The 23041-nt window shown below is 50.6% G+C and overlaps 1 protein-coding gene across 6 annotated transcripts in view, besides 2 other annotated features; it reads right to left on the bottom strand.

Moving 5' to 3' along the window:
* Positions 1-23041, bottom strand: part of PAX2 (paired box 2) — a 94549-nt gene that overhangs the window by 2603 nt on the left and 68905 nt on the right. For 5 of the 6 annotated variants that reach the window (NM_001304569.2, NM_003987.5, NM_003990.5 and 2 more), the window contains 4 exons: positions 20737-20912; positions 18106-18232; positions 2593-2694; positions 247-333 (listed from right to left, as the gene is read on the bottom strand). In NM_001304569.2, coding sequence (NP_001291498.1) covers positions 247-333; positions 2593-2694; positions 18106-18232; positions 20737-20912 — 492 coding nt within the window. Of the gene's footprint in view, positions 1-246; positions 334-2357; positions 2441-2592; positions 2695-18105; positions 18233-20736; positions 20913-23041 lie in introns of all 6 variants that reach the window. The other variant, NM_003988.5, reaches the window with a different exon arrangement.
* Positions 9777-10277: an enhancer, noted in NCBI's record as "H3K4me1 hESC enhancer chr10:102576822-102577322 (GRCh37/hg19 assembly coordinates)". NCBI's record gives its function as "activates a minimal SCP1, AML or CMV promoter by ChIP-STARR-seq in naive H9 embryonic stem cells {active_cell/tissue: H9 hESC(naive)}" and the evidence as "EXISTENCE:reporter gene assay evidence [ECO:0000049][PMID:30033119]".
* Positions 19336-19836: an enhancer, noted in NCBI's record as "H3K4me1 hESC enhancer chr10:102567263-102567763 (GRCh37/hg19 assembly coordinates)". NCBI's record gives its function as "activates a minimal SCP1, AML or CMV promoter by ChIP-STARR-seq in primed H9 embryonic stem cells {active_cell/tissue: H9 hESC(primed)}" and the evidence as "EXISTENCE:reporter gene assay evidence [ECO:0000049][PMID:30033119]".

Genomic DNA, 23041 nt, shown 5'->3' with positions numbered 1-23041 from the left:
CCCGGCTGCGCACCCTCCAGGGGATCCGAGGGCGAGGGCGGCGCAGAGCCTTCGAGCGACCAGGGAGGGCACGGGAGGGCAGGAGGTGCGGGCGTCCTCGAGGGGTCCCCGGGCCTCAGTGCTGCACTAACAAGCCTGTCCCCCTGGCCCGGCCGGGTCCCCAGAGGTCGGGTCGCCGGGAGTGGGACCGTGCCCAGAAGCCGCGCGGCCGCGCTGAGCCGCCGGCCAGCCAGGTGGCGTACTCACTTAGTAAGGCGGGGTTGCTGAATCTCCAAGCCTCGTTGTAGGCCGTGTACTGGGGGTGGCTGTACGGGTTGCCGGAGAACTCGCTCCCTGCGGGAGGGTCGGGGAGTGGGGATCAGACGCCTGCAAGCCAGGGCGGACCCCACGAGTCCGGCCGGTGGCTTCTCCGCCCGCTCCTCCCGCCGGGTCTCAGGCGCAGGTGTCGCGGGCAGGGTAATGGCCGTGGCGGGCGGGCCGGGCGGAGGTGGGGCGATCACCGCGTCCGCGTGGAGAGAGCCCGGGGAGGCGGGAGGCACCGACGCGCTCGCACACCCACGGGCGGGACCTGTGGGCCGGTGCCCGCCCAGGGCTTCCCAGCGGAGGCGCTCGCGGCCACCCACGAAGGGTTTGTATTGGGGCGCGTCCACCCTGTCGCGCTGGGGGCCAGGGCCTTTATAGATGCCACTCCGGTTCTAGGAGGCATGGCCCCTAATGGGTGGAAATGGGAGTGGGGGGCGGTGGCGAAGAAAGGCCTTCGGGACATTTTTCTCCCAGAAAGTCCTAAGAATGGCATCAATGTGCAGTGCCAACACAAGAGGTGGGAGCTCTTTTGGGAGACACCGCCCTCCCGCCTTTCCCTCAAGAGGTTGGATGCGTGGGCTACGCGGCAGGGGATGGAGGCGGCGCAGGTGGACTGCCCGCTGGTCCGCTAGCGGTGAGCGGAGGGCCCGTGGGTTGGGAGCCGTCGTCGGAAGCTACCTCCCTCCCTCTGCGGGAGAAAGGCCAGGCCTCCAGGTTTCCCCCTCGCCCTTTCTCCTGTGTGATGACCCCAGACTGTTTACAGTGATCCCTAACCGCGGGTTAAGTAGAGGAGAAGGGGCCCCTCTCTGAGAGGGAGCTGGGGTGGGGGTGGGGGATGCAGCCACTGGAAAGCCTGTTTATTGACGAGGAGGGAAAGCATGCGTGCAGCAGGATAATGAGCTTCTGAGCTCAACTGTGACCAAGAGGAACTGAGCTATCTCCTTCCCCATCGCTAATGAAACAAGTGTAATTTCCTCATCAGCACTAGATTCTGTTTAACGACTCCCCCCTCGACACCACGAGCTCTCTGCGGCTCCCCTCTTCCCCACCTCCCTGCAGACTCCCTGCCCCCACCTCCCCACTCTTCCCTCACCCCACCTCTTTAAAACCTCCTCCAGCCCCCACCTGCTCACTGCTGGGAGTTTCTCCCTAAAATCTCCTTGCCTCCCAACAAGGCTTCTACTTTCCTTCCCCTAAATCTGGGCAGGAATCCCTTTACCCACACCTCTAACTCCCTTCAGCCCCTAGTCCATAAGACCCAGCAGCAATCTCCCTCTTTGCCGCTGCCCCTACCCCAAGCTCTGCTTACCCAGGGTTATACCTAAATGTCCCTGGATGGATGGGGCCAACCACTCTCTTCTATCCTCCCCATTCCCCATACCAATGAGAGTTGAACTTCAGGGAAAGGCCACATAGAGGGCGGCCAGAGGGAGTGAGTTGCTGGCTGAGTGAGTCTAACCCTCCTTAAGACAAGAGTGTTTTGGTGTTTGTGCACATAGGAACTTCAACTCTCTTTGGCTTCAAGACCCTGCTCCCAATCTGGGGTTAGGGGTTAGGTATAGTACAACCTCCAGCTGCAGTCACCAGACCTTAAATACAGCCTCTGTCTCTCTGATTCAAACAACCCAAACCCAACTCCTCTGATTAGGGATGGGTCAGAGCCCCAGGGAAGCAATGGAAGGCTGGGTGCCTCTGAAGAGGTATAGGGGTGTTCTAGCCTGTCTCACTGCAGCGACTCTCCCTGCTTCCCGCCGCAGCCTGACCTCCATTCCTCTTAGGGACTAGCTCCCTACTGTCTCTGGGTTGGGGTTGGGGTTGGTTCTCAACATTGGTCTTCCCTTGTGTCTTGGTGTGGACCAGGGTGGCTTTGTCTGAGTGACTGACATGCCCCTGGAAATGGTTCTTGGCTCCAAGTTTCCATGGAAACCAGGGCAGGCTCTTCCAAGCAGTGTCAGCTGGCTGGGGTGGGCTGGGCACTGAGGGTGGAGCTGAGGCTGAGTGCTCCTCGGGCACAGACTTGGGTGGGTGGGCGCTGTGGAGGGGCCATGACATACAGTGGGTTGCACACAAGGGGGCACTTCTGCAAGCTTCCTCCCCGGCTTGCTCATGAGGGAGGATGAGGGACCAACTGCAGCCTCTAAGGAGAGAGAGGGACAGAATAGCAGTGGTTTGCAGGGAGGGGACGTTGTGTCTCCCCCCACCCCAGCCTCAGACTACAGACCATTCAGCAGCTCACCCACAATTTAGTTCCCCCCACCTAGATTAGGCAGCTGCAGCATTGTCACCTACCAGGCACCATTCCTGCCAGGGTGGAGGTGGGGTAGCTTCCCTGGCCAGTGGGGGGCACGTGAGGGGGGTAACCAGGCAGAGTGGTGCTCGCCATGTCACGACCTGGAAAAACACAAAGGGGAAGGGGTGAGGCCTGGAAGAAAGGGGCCTGCCTCTACTCACACCAGGGTACTGCACGGAGAGGAAACTCTTGGAGAGGAAAGAGCTCTGTGCAGACGTGCAGGGGTATGTGTGCCACTGTGCACCTGAATGCGCCATCTGAGTGTGCCTTTGCATGTGTCTAAGCTAAATGTCTATGATCAGCTGTGTGTACGCATCTCTGTTTTGTGTAGCTCTTTGTGTCTCTGTGTATTTGTGTGTGTGTGTGTGTGTGTGTGTGTGTGTGTGTGTGTGTGTATCTGCCTTTGCCTGTGTCTCTGTGCATTCCAAACCCAGATGGAGATGGGAGGGAGATGACCTGGTTTTACTCCTCCTTCTCAGCAAGATATTCAGCTGTGGTCTCTCCAGCAGCCAAATGGACCTCTATCATCTTGCTTATCTTTCCTCTCCCTAACACCCCATCTTTCCTTCAGGCTTGGAGGACACCCCACCATCACCCCTACAGGGACTGATGGCTATTCCTTGTCCTCTCCAAGTGGAGCTGCAGGTCCTGGTCCTGGCAGGTGTGGAGAGCAGGGGGGCAGCCAGTGGGCTATTTTGCTGTTAGTGTTTATGGCATTTACATGATAGAAAACCACCCTGAAGTGAATCAGGAGCTTTGAGCCAAAAGTGCAAGTGGACCAGATAAAGTTCCAATGAGCAAAATCTGCTCCCCCACCAGCTGCTGGACTTCTGTCCCTGGAGGGCTCTATCAGCTAAAGCCTGGAGGGTGGGAGACAAAGCGAGTCAAGATGAGGGTGCTACCCCTGGTCCACCGACATGTCCTCTGGGACACAGCTGCACATGACTGGGCTCCCTACCTTGCCTGCATCCTCCATGGCTATGAAGGGGCCACCACCTCCCTTTGCAATTTAGCATGCTCTGATCTCTAATAATAATTTGCTTTCTCCCCTCTGCCATAATCTCTTTATCCTCTCCTGGACCTCCTGGAACCCCCTTAACCCCTCCAGATTCCCCTTATTCTCCTCACTAGCCAATGCCACTCTATTACTCTAATGCCTCTGTCTATCCTTGGGAAGGCAAGGCATGGCTGGAGAAAGTAACAGAACTATGCATACCTGGGCCCGTTCACTTTCTTTTCATCAGCTGGGCCATAGTCATTATTCTCCCAATGGCTATTCCAAAGCATCTCTCTCTCTCTTTGCTACTCTCCCTTTGAAGATGGCCTCACCTCCCTGCATTCCAGAGCTGTATGAGTTTCCTCATCCCTACCTTGACACGTCTGAGTGATTTATCCTTCCCTAGCTATACAGAGCTACAGCTCAGGTTTTTGCATTTCTAGTACCCTGCTGAACATTTTCCTTGGCTGTCCCTCTGTTACCTCAAACCTAACTGGAATAAAAACAGATTCATCTTCCCTCTGTCGGTTCTTATGATCTTGAATATCATAAGACCAAAAACTTTGGAGTCCTTCTTGACATAGCCTTCTTCCTCCCATTCTAGATGAAGTCAGTCACCAAGTATTGTCAATTCTCCTTGGCAATGTCTGTTACATCTGCTCAATTTCCATTTCTTCCACTACCTTCCTAGCTCAGCTTCTAAGCACCTTCTTTTTGCCACAGAATATTTTTGCTTGCATTCCCTGACTCCACATTCTTCCCCTCCTGTCTGTCCTAAATGTGGCTGCTTGGCTAGTCCTCATGAAACTTTGCTTTCATCACACCACTTCCCTTGTAAAAACTATTACTGATTCCCTGTAGTCTATAGTTTGAAATGAAACTCTGTGGCTTTTAAAGCTGCTAAGGTACTCTCTCCATCCAACTTAAGATTATCACCTCTCCTGGTTTAGTTTGACTGTTTTCATGGCTTGTGTGATGTGAACCCCCTATGCTTTTGCCATGACCTTTTCTTCTTCCTTACGGTTTTCCTCTCCTTCCCCACTGAAGCCTTAAAATCCCTACCATTCTACCCATCAGGGAAGTTTCTCTCTTCCAAACTTCTACAGCATCTGTGCTGCATGGTTTACCATGCCATTATATTTCATAATATATGAGCCCTGATGTTTCATATCATAGCTTGCTTCTTCAAACAGATCATAAGCAACCTGAGGGCAGGACCCTGTCTTCTGCTTTATCCTGCATAGTTGAGAACGTGGTAGATGCTCAATAAACACTTGTTGATTAATCGTCCATCAATCTATTGCACTTAACAGCCAATTCCTGATGGGTTATCATTTTTTTTATTGTTTCATGTATATTGGTCTCATTAAAGAAGTAAAGGCTTGGATAAAATGTAAATATTAGAATATGCTTTTTCTTTAAAAAACAATTTAAACAATAGATTATGATTTTTTATAGGCTGATAAGAGGTTTACAGTGAGGGACTCATATATTGTGACTTTATTATGCAATAGAATGACTTTCCTCTATACCTGTCTAATATAGCCAATATCTTTCATTTCCTAAAACTCGAGAACAAGCAGAGTAGAACTGCCAAACAAGAGATCACTTTTGACTCCTAGAGAGACAGAATAAAGGATTTGTGTTTGCTTTGATGTGGGTTTTCTTTTATTGACTTCTGTTGTCATTGAAAGCTACACTCCTCCTGACTGTCTCTCAGTGGAGTGGACCTGAAGTAGACAATGACAGCAATATCAAAATCAATTCCTAGAGAGATTAATAATATGGCATTTATTGGTCAAAAAAAAGAGAAAGGCCCAGGACAGGATCGAGTTAGGGAAGACGCAGAAGTTTTGAAGCTGAACAGATATAGAAACCTAATTCCTCCTTCCCTGTCATCATAAAGTCTGCAAAGCAGCAGGAAAAGGGGTGTGCCTCTTTCTTAATAAACAGGAATTTAAATGCATCTGAATTCTGGTTTTCAGTTTTATGATTCCCACAATCTGTCACCATGAATTCCTTATAATCTAAGGTTTTGTCACGGAATCTCCTACCTCACTTCAGGAGGAAGGAAGACAGGCTGGATAACTAGAAAGATGTTTCCAGCTAACCTGGATGCAGTCCTATTGGAAAGTTTTATTTCTACTGCCTTTCTGTCTTGCAAAATGGCAACTTCCCTCAGGTAGGAACTTTTGCATGCTGAAAGTCACCCACTGAACAGCTGATTGAAAGGCACATTGCCAAATTCTATTTAGAAAACTGAAGTTGGGCAGTGCCATGTAGAAATTTTTAAAACGTGAAAGAAGAGTCCCAAGACAAGGAAAAAGCACGCAAGCTTCCTCGTGTTCTGCATACAGCTGTGCACCTGCTGCTGCGGAGTCTATAACACCAGTATCTCCACAAAGGAGTACCCTGTTCAGGACCCCTGAGCCAGCAAAGGTGCTGGCCACTGCATACAAAGCACTCTCAATTGCTTCATTAGCACACAGGTGACACTTAAAGAGCAGAAAAAATTGACCAAACTCTTGCCATATATTCTTCTGGAACACCATTGTCAATAATGGAAAACACATACTGCAGGAAGTTTTCAAATTACTAAGACTGTCATACCATTTGCCCAGCAGCATTCTTTGAGCAAGCCTCTTTTAGTGAAAGAATATGAATGGGTAATGGAATCTGTGCAAGCAAGAATCGACAGAGCACTGGGCCTTGCTGTACTATAGATGGATGGAAAAACATGAGTGCAGACAGACTCTAAAACTGTACAACAGCACAGCACCTCCTTTATACAAACAAGCAAAAGCACAGAAAAAGGAGAAAACAGTTATGTGGCAGAATACATCAGTTATAAAATATGTGCCACCCAACAGAAAGCAGTAGAGGATTTTTGTTGCTCAATGACAATGGCCAGTAACATAAAAACAGCATCAGAAATTACAAATGGACAAAACCCCACATATTATTACAAGAAGATGGGCATTTCATGTTGGACACTTGCTTTCCAAGGTTACAAAGTTGTTTTTTGTTTTTCGTTTTTTGAGATGAAGTCTCGCTCTATCGCCCAGGCTGGAATGCAGTGGTGCGATCTCGGCTCACTGCAACCTCCGCCTCCTGGGTTCAAGTGATTCTCATGCCTTAGCCTGTAGCTGGGACTATAGTTGTGTGCCACCATGCCCGTCTAATTTTTGTATTTTTAGTAGAGACAGGGTTTCACCATGTTGGCCAGGCTGGTCTCAAACTCCTGACCTCAAGTGATCTGCCTGCCTTGGCCTCCAAAAGTGCTGGGATTACAGGCATAAGCCACCGCGCCTGGCCAAGGTTACAAAGTTTTTAAAGATGAATAGCCTTCCAGATGATGAGGTAACTTCCTTGTTTCAAGGGTGAGACAATGAAGGCACAAAGATGCATCACAGTTTTCCCATGACTACACAGCTAGTAAATGATACAGCCAAAATTTGAAGCCATGTTTATACCACACTGCCTTTTAATAACACGAAGCCAGATACTCCCCAAAAGAGCCAAAGAAAAGGAAAAGAAGTCATCTGACAAACAAAGTCTCATATCGTCATGGCTGTGGATAAAAAGGACTCAGAGAATAAAATCCCGATGCCAAAAGTCTATAATAAAACTCCATGGGGTGGAGTATTAATCTCCTGTGAGAGTTTTCTGAAAAACAAAGAGGGTCTTCAAGAAACAGTGGTAGTGGAGAATCTTAAAGTCCCCAGAAGTGTTCAAAGCACTGTACTTGATGAGGATGTCTTCTCAGTTCAACTGCAGAAGTCCCTGAAGATTCTAAAGCCAATTTCTACAGCAATCACTACAACTGCATCAGACAGTGCACTTTCGTCAGACATTCCTTACCAAATGGGCCAGATCAAATCAACTGCTTTGGAGAATCTAAGTGCAGCTCCCCTTACAAGTACAGAGAAAAGCAAAGTGAAAGACTTTATTAAGAAAGTTGAAAAATTGTAGTCATCAGGTAATTTGTGCTACTTTCACCATCAGGTCTAAGATTCAAGGTCAGAGCTGTGTTTCTACTTGGGCCAGGACTACCTAGCATTCATTGAGCACCTTCTATATGCTGGGCGGTGTCCTTAACATTTTATATGATGTATTATCTCATTTAATCTTCATATCAACCCTATGATGTTGATGTTTTTATTTTTATTTTTATTTTTATTAAGACGGAGTCTCGCTCTCGTCACCCAGGCTGGAGAGCAGTGGCACGATCTCGGCTCACTGCAACCTCTGCTTCCTGGGTTCAAGTGATTATCTTGCCTCAGCCTCCCAAGTAGCAGGGATTACAGGCACCTGTCACCATGCCTGGCTAATTTTTATATTTTTTAGTAGAGACGGGGTTTCACTATGTTGGCCAGGCTGGTCTCCAACTCCTGACCTCAGGTGCTCTGCCTGTCTTAGCCTCCCAAAGTGCTGGGATTACAGGCGTGAGCCACTGGGACCAGCCATTGATATGTTTTTAAACTCCCCCCCCTTTTTTTTTTTTGAGACAGAGTCTTGCTCTGTCTCCCAGGCTGGAGTGCAGTGGTGCAATCTCCACTCACTGCAACCTCTGCCTCCCAGGTTCAAGTGATTCTCCTGCCTCAGCCTCACGAGTAGCTGGGATTACAAGCGCCTGCCACTGCACCCAGCTAACTTTTGTATTTTTTAGTAGAGACAGGGTTTTGCCATGTTGACCAGGCTGGTCTCGAACTCCTGACCTGAGGTGATCCACCCACCTCGGCCTCCCAAAGTGCTGGGATAACAGGGTGAGCCACGACGCCCGGCCTTTAATCCCCATTCTATAGATGAGAAATAAACTCAGAGGGGCCAAATATTACGTCTGAGATTTCACTGCTAGTAGATGGCAGAAACTGGATTACAGAACAGGCTGTATACTTGGGAAATGATCCTGGAATGATATTGTTCTCAAATAGTGCAGACCCAGAAAATAGATAGGTGTTTGGTCCAGGAAAGTAATATGGGATCATGCTAAGTGAATCCTTCCTATAACAGAACATCTTGTCACTTCTTGTTTCTTATGTGTTTCAGTTTCTTCCACTTTTTTACAGTGGGGGTTTTAAATTGGGGTTAACTGATCCCTCAAGAACCCATAGATCACTTCAAGGGGTCTATATAAATCTATACATAAAATGTTATGGACATTGTATATCTGTATCTTTCTGTGTAGATGGTACATGACTTTTATCATATTCTCAAAAAATATGGCTTAAAGATTAATAAGCACTGTTTATAAAAAAGTGAAAGAGCCCCGTTCTTTGGCATAAGACACTGATTTGTTTGCAACTACTTGAATTGTATCAATAAACAGGATGATACAAAGCACAGCAAAATAACATGTGAAGTAGCAGGGAGTTGCATCTCAAGTCAAGGAAAATGTCAGCATTCAGAAGATCAAGGAAATAAAAAGGAAGCCACGAAAGAAGCAGAAACTGCTGCTCATGATGGCTCAGATGAGACTTATTAGACATAGATTTATATAGCAAAAGTTCTATCGAGGAGTTCAGAGATGCTTTTCCTCAGCATCTTTCTCTGAAAATGAGCACTTTTGCTACCCACTTGACACTGCGGAGGACCCTAAGGCCAGAAAACATAACTCTTGTTTTACTGCCCTATCCTCAAGTTCTGTCTGCTTCTCATAAGGTAGCGAAAATGAAGACATTAGATTTCTTCAAGGCTGGCAGTCTATGCCTGCATTTGACATAGGCATTTATAATACTTACAAAAATACACAGTTATTAAATTTGTAATTGCTGCCTAAATATATAAATGCATAATTGGTATTTACTATAACAATTACGAGCACCTTATGACCAATTCAACGTATATCTATTACACTAAAGTAACAAACTTTAAATCCACACAAGATGTTTTAAAAGGAGAGGAAAATAACTATCTACATATTTCCTTTCATTTCTTATTTCCCAAGCTTCCAAATCCTCCCAGGATTTGAGTTGTCCTCTAGGGCAGAAGGGACTATGGGACAGCCCACAGCCCCAGGCTCTGGCCTCAGCCCCATACCCCACCTGAGGCTTGCCTGCTCCAGGTTCCAGCAGAGGGGGCTGTGCCTCCAACTCAGGGTGGCTGCTCTTCCAGTTGATCTCAGCTCCCACTGCCACCTTGAATCCCTGGTGTGTCCTAGGCAGGGATGTTACCCAGATCTGCAGGGGCTTAGTGAGGTCTACACCTTGACAGCCAACCGGCCGGACACAACCAGTCATGCTGTTTCCATCCCTTCTCCCAGCACCCCGCCCTCCTCTGGGCTGTGTAGCCTGTTGGCTCAGGGCCTCACAGGAGGTGGTTTCCTTCTAATTCAGCTGGACCATGGATGGAAATGCAGCTTCAGCATCCTAGGATAACACCAGGGAATGTTGGGGAGAATCACATTTTCAAAGGGCTGAGAAGGAACTTGGATATCTTCTAGTCCAACTCCCTTGTTTTACGGAGGAGGAAACTGAGGCTCAGAGAGAGGGGAAGACATTTCCAGTCCTCTTCCCAGTTGGCAACTTCCCAGTCCTCTTTCCAGAAGGCAACGTCCCTGTGTTGCCTTCTCTGGCTCCATGAGCAAATCACAAATGAAGATTGGAGTTGGGCAGGTACTGGCACTCAAGAGGTTGGGCCCAGGCTCAAAGATGGGCTCAGAGCATGAGAGACCCTCATGCTGGGTGGGCAGAGGTTAAGCCTGTTTGCAGAGTCTTCTGATACTCCAGGCCTCCCAGTTCCTCTCTGGCTTTATTTTGTTCTCTGAGAGCACTGAATTGTCAGCTCTAATCCTTCCAAAAGCGCAGTGTTTTTCAGGCGCTCTGTGTAAGTGAAACCCTAATCCCAAGGAAAACGGCCACTTAAGCCTCTGCAGCATTAGGCTGTTCTCCGAGCCCTGCAGGATTTCCTCCTTCCCTGCCTGCCAGCCCAGCCGCCACCACCACTGGGGAGAAGAGGGGAGGATTCAGGCTGAAGGCATGCAAAGCCCTCTCAGAAGTGACAATAGTGGCGGAGCTTGTCTCCCAAAGCTCAGGGTTGCAAAAGCACTAGCTTGTTTGTCCTGAGGCTACAGCTAATTGTGGAGGTGGAAGGGATTCTGGCTACCCTGGGAAAAAAGTGGGGGGTCTTCCTGTCACCTTGGAGGTGGCCGGCCCTCTGGGGGAAACAGGTTTTCAGGTCTTGCCTAGGTGGCTTTGAGGCCACTGAGACATTTCTGAGCCCTTGGTACCAATACATACCTGTTTCATTGGGACAGCAGTCTTTAGGATTTCCGGTCATTCAAAAAATGTTGGGTTGACTGACCTTACTTTTACTTAGCCAACATTTTCTTCTTAAAAAGTACCAAATAACGGACTAAAAAGCTTAGTGCTGGGAGATCTCTTTTTTGGAGAATTCCCCTGTGGGACACATCAAGTATCTAAATGACATCTACAGAAACCAAAAGGGTCCCGTAACCTGACGAATCATGAAAGCAGTGGCCAGTATTCTCAACTGGGCAATCCTTTATTGGCCTGAGTTGGCTATTGTTATGCACTTGATAGCAAGATCATTGATTTCTTAGAAAATATTTTGATTCAAATTCAGACTGGCCCCTTTCTCTCTCTCTCTGATCTCTGATGAACAAGTGAGGCCATCCTTGGAGGAATAAGCACTCCATTTGGCATGTTCAGGTTTTTGGGCCTCACGGACAGAGGGAAGAGATGAAGGGAGGAGGTAAGAAGAAAGGCCCAAGGTTAAGGGCCAAATTTGAGCTCAGCGTAGAAAACACCAGAACTACGTCTTTGCTAAGACACCCCAAACCCTTCCTACCTTTGTCACCCTCCCTACGATGCTCCTCCCTCTGCAGCCCCATTCTCAGCCAGGGTACTTCTGCCATGGCACCCTCCTGGGAAGGGCAGCCCAGCAGCACAGGGTGGCCGGTAGGCACAGACAAGGACATGGGATTGGGACCTGAGATTGAGGTGGCACAGCTTTTATTCTGGTCAAATATGGCCTGACTCTGATCCCGACAGTGGATTAGGGCCTCTTCTTTTCCATATCCTTTACCTCTATCAGTGGACTGGATAAAGGAGGAAGGGAAAGAGGCCTGATCCAATGACTCCCTAGGCTGCAGGCCGAGAGCAGCCGCATATCTGTCAATGTCTCATTGCTATGGAAATGCCCCCATAATTAAATCAGAGCTGAGGTTGGGGGCTGGAGGTCCTTGGGGATGTGGCCAGCAGACTCAGGGATGTTTGAAGGAGGCTAGCCTCTTTTCTTGGGACCCTCACAGCCTAAAGGAAGGGTCTAGGGCATGTGAGCACTGAGGAACAGCCCTCTGGCTTGCTTTGGCCTCCACAGTAAAGGGATCTCTGACTTGCCACACGTCTGAAGTTGTCTTAGCCCTCTCCTTTCAAGGAGAGGAACTATGATGTCTGTGCCCTAAATTCCTCTAGCTAATCAGGGGCTTTGAGCTGACAGACAAGACTAGGAGACTCCCAGCCTCCTTGAGAAACATTTCTCAGTCTTTATTGCCCTCTCCTCCCCCGGGGGCTGGCCAAGGGCTAAGCTGTTTGTTTTATGGAGGGAAATGCAGTTGCATTGGAAGGGGGTTGTTAACTACAGGAAAGAGGCAGTTCCTGGAGGTCCTCAGGATGCCCTGAGTAGGAGGAGGAGGTTTCCCAGGGTCCACACCTCTATCTGCTAAAAGGCCACTTTGCTGACCATCTCAGATGTGGGCCAGGAGGCCGAGCTTCTGAGTTGGCAACCCTTTTCAGAAGCTACATCCACACTGCTCACACTGGTCCCTGCTGCTGTCCAGCTGTGAACTTTGCCTCTCTGGCCTCCCCTACCTCTGCTCAAATCAGCCAGCTTCTGGGAGACCAGCCTCTTCTGCTCCCTCTTCCTGCCTTGGGCACTTCCCTCTTGGGCAGCATCCACATCTCTTCCTGGATCTTAATTACAGCTTCCTTCAAAACTGCAGTCTTCAGCAATTAAGAGACATTTCTCCCAAGCTCTTGAATAAAACCACCTTCCCCCAACCAGGATGGGGAAGCTACGGAGGCTTCCCACCTGCCCCCACCCCACTGGGGAGAAAGGTACTGTGCCCATCTCTAGCTCTCTAATGTTCAGACATTTTCTCAAAGAAAATATAAGATTTTCTGCTGAGGCTTAGCAGTCTGGGAGCCTGGACAAGCCTGGAACAGGCTCTACTTTCAGAGTTGCCTGAGGCTCAGCTCTTTCCATGCCTCCTGGACCCCAAAGCAATAATCTATAGGTATGGTCCTCATTCTTTGCCCTTTTTGATCTCCATTATCTGACAATTTGGTGAGCAGTGGTGGGAAGGGACTGGGGGATCTGGATCTGTGGTAAAGATACAGCTGATACTTCCTTTGATCTTTTTTTTTTTTTTTTTTTTTTTGAGATGGAGTCTCGCTGTGTCGCCCAGGCTAGAGTGCAGTGGCACGATCTCAGCTCACTGCAAGCTCTGCCTTCTGGGTTCAAGTGATATTCCTGCCTCAGCCTCCGAAGTAGCTGGGACTACAGGCGCCTGCCACCACGCCCGGCTAATTTTTTGTATATTTTTTTAGTGGAGACGGGGTTTCACCATGTTAGCCAGGATGGTCTTGATCTCCTGACCTCGTGATCCGCCTGCCTCGGCCTCCCAAAGTGCTGGGATTACAGGCGTGAGCCACCGCGCCCGGCCCCTTTGATCTTTTTTAGAATATTAAACATGCTGAGTTTATAGCACTTTTGGATTATTCTATTGTTCCCAGGTCTTGGGGGGATGTTAACTGTTCTGTTTATTGCTTCTACTAACTTTCCCTTTTGAAAGTTTGTATTCACATGAGATGTGTACTTTTTTTTACAGTAAGCTCATCATTAGTGGTGGGGTTTTTTCTTCCCCCTGTGGGAGTCCCATGTGCCCTGGATTTTAGAATGTCTCTACAAAGAAGGTTTGTCATTGCTCCTGGTGAGGTTTCAGAATGGGTTACTATCCTGTACAAATTTTTATGTAAGTTCCTGGCTTGGGTTTCCTGCAACATACTCATGGTATAAATTTGGACTCTGATCTGGCATCAGGCTTGGCGTCTCCATGTCTCATGGTGACCTTCCATTCTGCCCCCTTCCTTGTTTCCCTGGGCTACTCAGACGAGTGTATGTGTTTGCCTTTCACGGACAGTGTGGTCCCTGTTCTGTTCCTTGCTTTATGCAGGATGATACTCAGTTCTGGCTTCCTGATTCCCAAAGTCACATTCCCTGACTGGTGTGTTACAACCCCATCCTCTCCCAGTCAGCATCTCCCTCCAGTGTGATGCCAGCGGCCTCTCCAATACTGATCTGGCTTTGAGTTCCCCTCTATTTCTGGCACCAAAGAGTGAGATTTGCTGCGTATTAACATTTTTGTTGTTATATTTTATTCAGTTATGTTTTGGTGAGGTAGCCTGCCTGGGTCCCAGACATCAATCTCATTCCTCCTTTACCTCTCTGTGACTAAAACAAGGGCGGTGAGAGCTGCACTTGCTCAAGGCTCTGCCAGTGCGCGGCAGCAATGCCCACTAGAGGCCAGTGAAGCCTGTGGGTGCAGTGGCTCCAGGGACTGGTGCTTTCCCTAGCTTCTAGAGCGAGCCTGTCCAATCCACAGCCCACAGGCCACGTGCTGCTCAGGACAGCTTTGAATGTGGTCCAGTGCAAATTCGTAAACTTTCATCAAACATTATGAGGTATTTTATTTTTGTTTTTGTTTTTAGCTCATCAGCTATCTTAGTGTTAGTGTATTTTATGTGTGACTTAAGTAATTTCTTCTCCTTCCAAAGTGGCCCAGGGAAGCCAAAAGATTGGCCAACCCTTTTCTAGAGAGCATGGAACTGCACAGTCTCTGACTTCTCCAGCACTGTTCCTTGCATCTGGGCTCTCTCCTTCGGGGTGGACTTGCACTGTGTCAAGGGACTCTCTAATGCTCAGAAACATCCCCAGTGACTTTGGGAATCCTGGAGTAAGTTCTCATCTTCTCCTCCCAGATCAACATCACTGCCAGTGTCTCTGCATGCTCCTTTGTCACTGGAGCCCCGGCCAGACATGGGGAGGGGGGGTCAAGGTGAGAATGCTATGGAGAACAGGGACTATCTTTTCTTCCAGGGATGGGAGACTTTAAGGAATGAAGCCTCCTGCATGCAGTTGGAGCGAGTCCTCACTGCAGATGCCCTGACCCGGAGGGCCCTGGGACTACTGAGAGGTGGATGGCAGCCCCTCTGGGCTCCTTTGGAGGGTCAAGAAGGTGATGAGAGGTACCAGCCACAGCCAGCCAACCTGAAAAAGCCTGGGGCCAGAATGCCCGTGACCCATTCTCTCATGTAGCTGGTCCCTCTTTCTTTATCACTTAGGAGAGACGAGGCTCCGTTCCAGACCAGCAGCCTAGAGCCGTGGGCTGGAGAGAAGAGATGCCGCTGAGCTAGAGCAGCCCAGCGGCGGAAGGGAAAGTGGGTGATAAATTTAAATAACCAGCTTGACTTGGCAGCTTGCTGAGTTGTGATGCAGTGAAATTAAAATCTCGGCAGAACTTGCAAACACTACCCAGCAAAATCAGTCTCTCTCCTCGGTTCCCTGATGGAAGGTGGGGAGGGGAGGCTATGGGGCTGAGCCCTAGCCTCCGGCAGCCACCCTTGCTTGCAATGTGATTAGCTGTGTCCTGGCCCACTGGGCCCCACTCTCCCCTCCACACAATAGTCTAGGTTCCTCTCTCCTCTCAGTCCTGACCTTGTGGAATAGCTGCATCAAGTGGCTGGTGAAGTTTGAAATCAGCCTCCAGGGCCAGGAGGTGGCAGGAATCTCAATAAGGTCTGGCTTTTCAGGTTGGGCTAGGGCATTCCCTCATCCCCTAAGGTTTGCAGCCGCAGCTGTCAGTCCTGGGGAAGAAGATGAGCAGGGTGCCTGAGACGTGGAGGATAAAGAGGGCTCCTTGAACACCTCGGCACTCCTAAGCCAGGCTATGGGCACTGGGTGACCTAACAGCTCCCTTACCTTTAGCACACACCTCCCCAGAATCACCTACCCACCTAAAAGAGCCTCCTTTTCTCTTCTCCCACCAAAGCCCTTAATATTTGCCAAGAAAATAAGCTTTTAAAGACTCTTTGAGGTCAGTGTCCACAAATACACTAAGGGCCTCTCCCGCACTCCAGCTCTGCCTGGAGCCCAGTTCTCACAGATGCCAGTATCTTTCTAGAAGAACTCACCCAAAGTCCACTCTCCTGTTTCTGTTCTCCTTGCATCACTGCTCACTACTACCCACAATATCCTGGCCTGAAGGCCAACATGCTGGACCCACTGCTGAGATGGCATATGGAGTCTCTGAGCAATGCCCCATGGCTCACCTTGACAGTACCTCTAGCAAATTCTGTTTGTCCCCATAATAAACACATCATAAATCATTCATCTTTAATAGATTATGCAAATTAGGAGGACATAAAATCAACAAAGATCAATAACTGCAGCAGTTTAATTGCCAGCAAAAACATTTTAAGAATGAGCATAATCTGCAGCTCTTTCTTGGGTAATGGCACTATTAATCCAAACAGTGGATCTTGGCCTAAGTGTGGAAAAATCATTCCCTACCCCTATCCCCATCTTCCCTCCCCCACCTCTCCACACACTTGTCTCTTTTTGGTAATTTCCAGTTTCTGAGCGAGTTTCCCCGTCATTACCACTGGTGAACAGCTCCGAATGTTAATGGTTCTGCTTTTGTTACTCCTCGCTTGATTGAAATGTCGCATACAGATTGAGATGTTAGTGCTAACTTGCCACCTGGGAATGTCAAGCTGGGTCTGAAATGAACTTTTCTCACACTTGGATCCAGATGGATCAGCCGGAGATGTTCCCAGGCTGAGCTGGGACTGTTCCAGGGCCATGGGGGGGAGGCGGGTGGGGGCTGCTCAAGGTGGAGGCACTTCTCTGTACCAGCCCCTGGGTCTCCTGTGGCAGGAGCCCTACCCTGAAGATCCATAGCTCCACCCTAGGAAGCCCTTGCCTTCTAGACTATGGCCTGAGCGCTGGGCAGCAGATGGGGTTAGAGAAGTCTCCCGGGTTCTCTTTGAACAGTGCCTGGAGTGGCCATCTTTGGGAAGTGACCACTGTACTTCTGAGCAGGTCAGGAGAAAGGTGGCCTGGCCTGGGCCGTCTCTCTGCCTTGGGTCAGAATACCTAGCAGGTCAGAGAGCTTCCCAGCTGGGCGAAGGATGGCTCATGCTGAGGGCCATTTGGTCATGGGCTGTGTCCTGGCCCAGCTAACCCAGCTAAGGTCGTCACTCCCGAAAGCCCAGTCCAGGTCTCCAACACTTCTAGAATTCAACCTCTGACTCCCTAGCCAAAGATCTAGGCTGGAAACAGTTGTACCAGTACAGCCCCTTAGGGAGAGGCTGGGAAAACTGACAGGGCTCTCCTAAGCCCCCAGGTGGAGGCTGGGTGGCCACTGAGCCCAGCTCAGGCTCAAATGCAGCCGCACTCAGACCAGCTCACAGGCAGAACCAGGGCCCAGTCCTAGAGTGGGCGGTGCCTGTTCCCTGCCTTTGCCGCTGGCTCTGCAGCCCTGCTGCTGGGTCCGCAGGCCACCTCCGCTTGCCTCGCTCTGCAGGTAACGCCTCAGTGTCTCCCAATCCCCACCGAGACCCTTCTCAATCATCCTGTCTCCCAAGGAACAAACGGCACATTGGCTTTAGTGTCTCCAGAATAATTAGGTGAATTTTAATAACACCTCAATGCGTGTCTCTCCCATTTGGGCAGTCTCCTGGCCTGGAAACCCTTCTGCAGTGGCACGTGCATTCCACAGCCTGGAGCTCTGCGGCCTTCCCTGGACTCCACCTCCCCTTCCAAACTAACTGGCCCTGCTGCTCTTCATTTGTAGGGGCTCCTGGCCATGGCGCCCCTAGCTCTGCATTTGATTGTGGGCCAAGCCTGATCCTACCTGGCCTTGAAATCAAGCCTTGGTGTCACTGACCTCTCTGGGAAGCAGGAGGAAGGCTGGAATAATTGTACTCATCTCAAACTCCACAGAGCTGGGTGCCATGCCCTCAAGCCCAAAGCCATGATCACCCATGCTGCCTGGAGGGAGCGGTAAGCGGGTCCCCCAGGAGCCTTGGAGACCCAAGTGTGGAGGCTGGACACTGGGTACCCATGCTCCACTCTCACCAGCCTGGCTTATTTGCTTTCTGCAGACATCCTAACAAGAGGCTCATGATTCTGGGCAACTTGGGAGAGGGAAGAGAAATAGACAAAGGGAGAGGCGAAGGACAGGAGGAAGAACTGGCAACAGCCCCTCCTAGCATCAGCCTTTCCAGGTTGAAGCCCACAGATGCCCTGACCCCAGTTTTTTTCTCCCCACATCTGCACACCCCTGTTCAGGAAGCACCCTGGTTTTAGAAGCCTCGTTCTCTCTGTAAATATCACGGTGGGGGACCTGCTCCTCACACTGGGCCTCAGATGGCATGGGCTGAGGCACCCTCCACTGAACGCAGTGCCCCCACCCTCCTGGAAGCCCCCTTACCAGTCACAACTGGGTATGTCTGTGTGCCTGACACGTTGCTGCCCAGCTCAGGGTTGGTGGATGCAGATAGACTCGACTTGACTTCATCAAGCCCAGGGGTCAGGGCTGGGAGGGAGTACTCGTTCCCCTGGGAGGAGAGAGAAAAGTGACAGCTCTCTATTGATGCACGCACAGAGAAAGGGCTCGGTGTGCAGATGGGGAGGAGGAACAGGGGAGCCCGCCCAGATGGGGTAGAAAGAGATGGTGGGGCAGAGGGGAGATGCGGGGGCTTGGTGGATGATGGCAAGTTTTGTGCGGGTAGTAGACCTGACTTGGTGAAACCGGAGGCACAGCACCCTTTACACATTTTGGGCACTTAATGCCAGCACCCTTTATGTTTCTGTAGCATCTCCTGCCTAAGCACCCCTGCGGGTAGGGTGTAGTAGTGGGGATACCCTTGTTGAGAGGCATGGGATGTCGAGGAGCCTTGGGGAGGAGGGGGAACCATGACATGACTGGCAGAGCCAGTAGCTGGGAGAAGGGCCTAGTGGGGCCTTCAGCCTGGCACTGCTGGCTGATCGGGTATGGGCGCCCCTTTTTTAAAAACAAACAATGACAGCCCCATGGGCCCCTCGCTGTCTGCCTGTGCACTGGGGTATGAAATTGGGGAGGGGGAGAGTCCACATGGCTAACAGAAGGGTAGGAGGGGGCCAGTCATTGACTCTGAAAGGGTGTCCTGCCTGAAACACTCGGGTAATTGCCTTTTTATTGCAGCCACGGCCAAGCCAGACCCCAGAGCTGGGCAGACCGGGAGCCTGCACAAAGCAGGAAAAGTTGCTCTGATTAATATTACGTTAAATTAAAACTGATTTCCTGCTCTTTCGGGTCTGTTTTTTTCCCTTCCGCTTCCTGGCCCCCCTAGAGTACCCCCTCCCCTCCATGGCTGGACGGGATTGCCTCGTCATTTCCAATTCCTTCTCGTATTGATCTTCCTGTAGAAATCAGTTTTGTAATTAGCTGCAAATTAGGCCTTCTACTGGGGGTGAAGCTGCCCCCTGATTTATCACCAGAGTAATTCGCTGTGATCGGAGAGAAATTAAAATGAACTCAATTAGGCTTCGGATTTGCTTTATGGGCCCTGCTCCGAGTTTCAGGGGGAAAAATGACTGTGCTGGTGTTTAATAGTCTAATGAAAGTAAATAAAGGTTATTCATTGTAATACAGGCGGGGACTCAGGGAGGGTGCACTGAGCCGCCCGCCTCGGCCAGCTCCTCCTTTGTTGGTTTATGGCTCAGGGCACCTTAAAAAGACTTTTGATTTTTGTTTTATGAAGACAAACAGCTTATGGGATAAAAGGACGGGCGGGGAGAAAGGCGAGTGGCTGGGAGCTGTTGGAGTCTTAAGAGTGGAACTACAGCGTTCAACGCTGTGGGGCTGCACTGACGTGCATGTGTGGGTGCGTGTGTGCATGCATGCAAGCACAGCAATGCTGTCTTGTGCTGTGACTGTGGGCCTGGCCTGGGCTGCATGTGTAGCAGGGATGGGAGTGTGCCCCTGTGTGGGAGCGGGTGTGCTGGGGGCTCCACCCAGCGTATGTGGGTGGAGGCATATGCTAGGGGTATGCTGAGCTGGTGATCTGGGGGCAGCACACACCCACTGGCTCCATGCGGCTGCCGGGGCTAGCTGTGAGTACCGTGGGCTGTGGGTGAGGGAGCAGGTGGGCGGTGGTGTGTGAGCACAGTACCGTGGGCTGTGGTCGGGGGAGCAGGTGGACAGTGGTGTGTGAGCACAGTACCGTGGGCTGTGGGTGAGGGAACAGGTGGGCGGTGGTGTGTGAGCACAGTACCGTGGGCTGTGGGTGAGGGAGCAGGTGGGCGGTGGTGTGTGAGCACAGTACCGTGGGCTGTGGGTGGGGGAGCAGGTGGACAGTGGTGTGTGAGCACAGTACCATGGGCTGTGGGTGAGGGGAGCAGGTGGATGGTGGAGTGTGAGCACATGCACACCAGCACATAGAAAAGTTCGGAGATGGTTTCTGCGTTGTGCGTTTTGCTGGTGTGTTACATGCTGTGCCCCATGCTATGTGTCCTGGGCTGCTCAGTGTCTGCAGAAAGTGTTGGGTGTAAGTGGGAAGCTGCCAGCCTACCTAGGGTTCCATTGAATTGCTGGCTTGGGGAGCAGGAGGCAGGCACAGGCAGGCTCTCCTGACACTGGGCAAGGAGAGCTCCCCAGTCTAGCGTAGACTTTCTGTAGGACCCTGAGGGGGTGTGGGCAAGGGACACAGCAAGAGGATGTTCCTGAGTACTCCATGCAAGAACCACAGAAAAGCGGAGCTAGAAGGGACTTGACAAACCCTACATCCAAGCCCTTCATTCTATAGATGGGGAAACCGAGGCTCTGAACAGAGATGATTTACCCAAGGCCATACTCTTGCACCCAGAACTCATTTCTAATTACCATATACAGACCATAATGATTTGTCTTAACGATACCATACTGTCTCATGTGAGCCTGTTCACACTGCACACACACAGAACACACGTGTGTAACACATACAATGCTGGCTATGCATGTGGTGTTTAGTGAACAAGTTTTTGAGAGGCCTTGCTCTGCCGGCTCCTTTCTACTTCTGCAAGCAGAAAGCTCCCTCCTCACCTGTTCTGATTTGATGTGCTCTGATGCCTGGAAGACGTCAGGGTAGGAAGGACGCTCAAAGACCCGATCCAAAGCTTCCAGCTGCTGCTGGGTGAAGGTGTCAGCTCGCAAGTGCTTCCGCAAACTGTCCACACCACTCTGGGAATCTCCATTGGGGACTGAGCCCTCAGACACATCTGGAGAACACATGGACACTCGGGGCGTTAGCGCCAGGCCAGCAGAGGCACAGGAACAGTGCAGGGCAAAGAGGTGGGCATCTGGTTCCGGGCCCAGGAGCTCTGCACCCCTATGGGACCCCTTACTCTCAGCCCCTGGGCCAGTGGGGCTGACACCAGAGGGTGGCCCTGCCTCAGAGATCTGGCTGAGGAAGCCCAAGGAAGAGAAGGACCTGAGGACCTGGTAAGAGATGGAGCGGTCACACTGTGGGGTCAGGAAGGATTAGGCAGAGGTGGAGCCAGGGGGCTCCCAGGAGCCAGCTCCCTGGGGCATGTCTCCCTGAACCACCCCCTGCCCCCAAGCCAGGGCCAGCCTGGGGAAGAAAGAAGCTGGGTGTCTCAGACTGGCATTACTGAGCCTGTGGAGAATTGAACTCGGCTCCGAGATGAATTTCAGTTCCACTAATTCCAAGGGTTGAAAACCATCAAATTTCCGAGGCCGAGTGTAACCTGGAGACTGGGTGAAGTAATCAACTTCGCCCTGAGGGAGGAGGGGCTCTGAGGCAGAGCTGAGGCACTCTGCTTGGGTTGGGCCAGGACTGAGGCCAGAGGGAAACCAAGCGGGAGGAAAGAGGTGTCGCTAGAGCAGCAAAGCTCCCGCTTGGGCAGAGCCCACAGAAGGGCCCCTGTGGATGCCTCTATGCCCTGGCCGCCTTCTCGGCCTCTGTCTCCAACCTAGACCCAGGCTCAAGCCTCCTACAGGAGCCAGTTTCTTGGTCACCTGGTTCCTCCTGCAAGTCTCCAGAGGGAGCAGAGTCTTATCACACCGGTGCCTGCTCCCCTGAGTCTACAGGCCAATCCTGTCTCCATGTCCCCTTTCCTCAGGCGTTCTCAGCCCTCCCCTATCCTTGCCTCCCAGCGTCGGTTCCTTGGAGTTTTCAAGGTGTACAGTAGGCAATGTGCCTGCTCTGTGGCCTCTCTCTGAACCCACACCTTGCAGCCCCCCAAAGTGGGGTTTCCCCCCCAAACCCCATACCAGCTTGGTCACTCCAGGCTTCCCTCAGCCCAAGACCAGCTGAGGAGCCTTGGGCCTGGGGCCAGCCCATGCCGGAGGCCCCAGGGTGTTCCTCTGGGAATGTTATATATATCAGTTTATAGGTGATTATACGATATGATATAATCAATATTGCATTATATACAGTAACACCATACAGTATCATTCAGGAGACCATAGAAAATATTACATATTGATTAACTCAACCTGCAGCCATCCTCCCTTGCTGGCCTCCCAGACCGAGCATGGGGTTTGCTTTCCTAATGTGACCTCCCATCTTCCCTCCATATCTATTCTGGAGGGGGTGGGAAAGCAAAGAAAGTGTGTGTGTGTGTGTGTGTGTGTGTGTGTGTGTGTGTGTGTGTGTGTGTGTATGTGAGAGAGAGAGAGAGAGAGAAGGAGAGAGAGAGAGAGAGAGAAGGAGAGAGAGAAAGAGAGGGAGAGAGAGACAGAGATCAAGACCAGGACCACATCTGAAGAAGACAGACAGAAGCAGCTTCAATGGTATTTGTTCCCATGAACACAAAACTTGGTGGTTGTGGTTTCTTCTGCATAAGGCTCTGGAATCATTTCAGTCTTACGGGATGTATGCATCAACATATGAGTTGAAAGTTGAAGTGTGGTAAATTTATTTTTCCCTTTTGTGTGAGTATTGCGTGTCTACGCGCTTGTACATATATAAACGTCCAGATAAACAAGGGTCTGCGTGTGTGGAAATAGAATGAGAAGCTTCCTGAAAGAATGTGTGTGTCTGTGTGTGATTGCATGAGGACTGTGAGGCCACATGCCCCGTTTCTCCTGTGCCTACTTCTTTTTTCAGGATGTGCCATCATCCTCATTTCACTCCCTGTAGCTATTTGCGTGTCCTATTGTGTTTGATTCTCCCTTCCTGGAGCCCTCCTACCTTTTGGGGAAGCCGGACTCTCAGGGCTGAGGAAAGCATCAAATATCTTCATATATGGTTATTGTAGGGGCAGAGAGGGTGTATTTGTGAGCGTGTGTTCACACATTATGTGTGTGCATGTGTGGCAGGACTCTCCTCATGCCTCTGTGTAGATTTGTGTATATGCCTGTCTGTGTGTGGCTTGGCTCACTG

Source organism: Homo sapiens, chromosome 10 (assembly GCF_000001405.40).
Source record: "Homo sapiens chromosome 10, GRCh38.p14 Primary Assembly".
NCBI classification, from domain to species: Eukaryota; Metazoa; Chordata; class Mammalia; order Primates; family Hominidae; genus Homo; species Homo sapiens.
The sequence above is the reverse complement of the archived record's forward strand: the minus strand, read 5'-3'. Positions and strand labels throughout refer to the sequence as shown.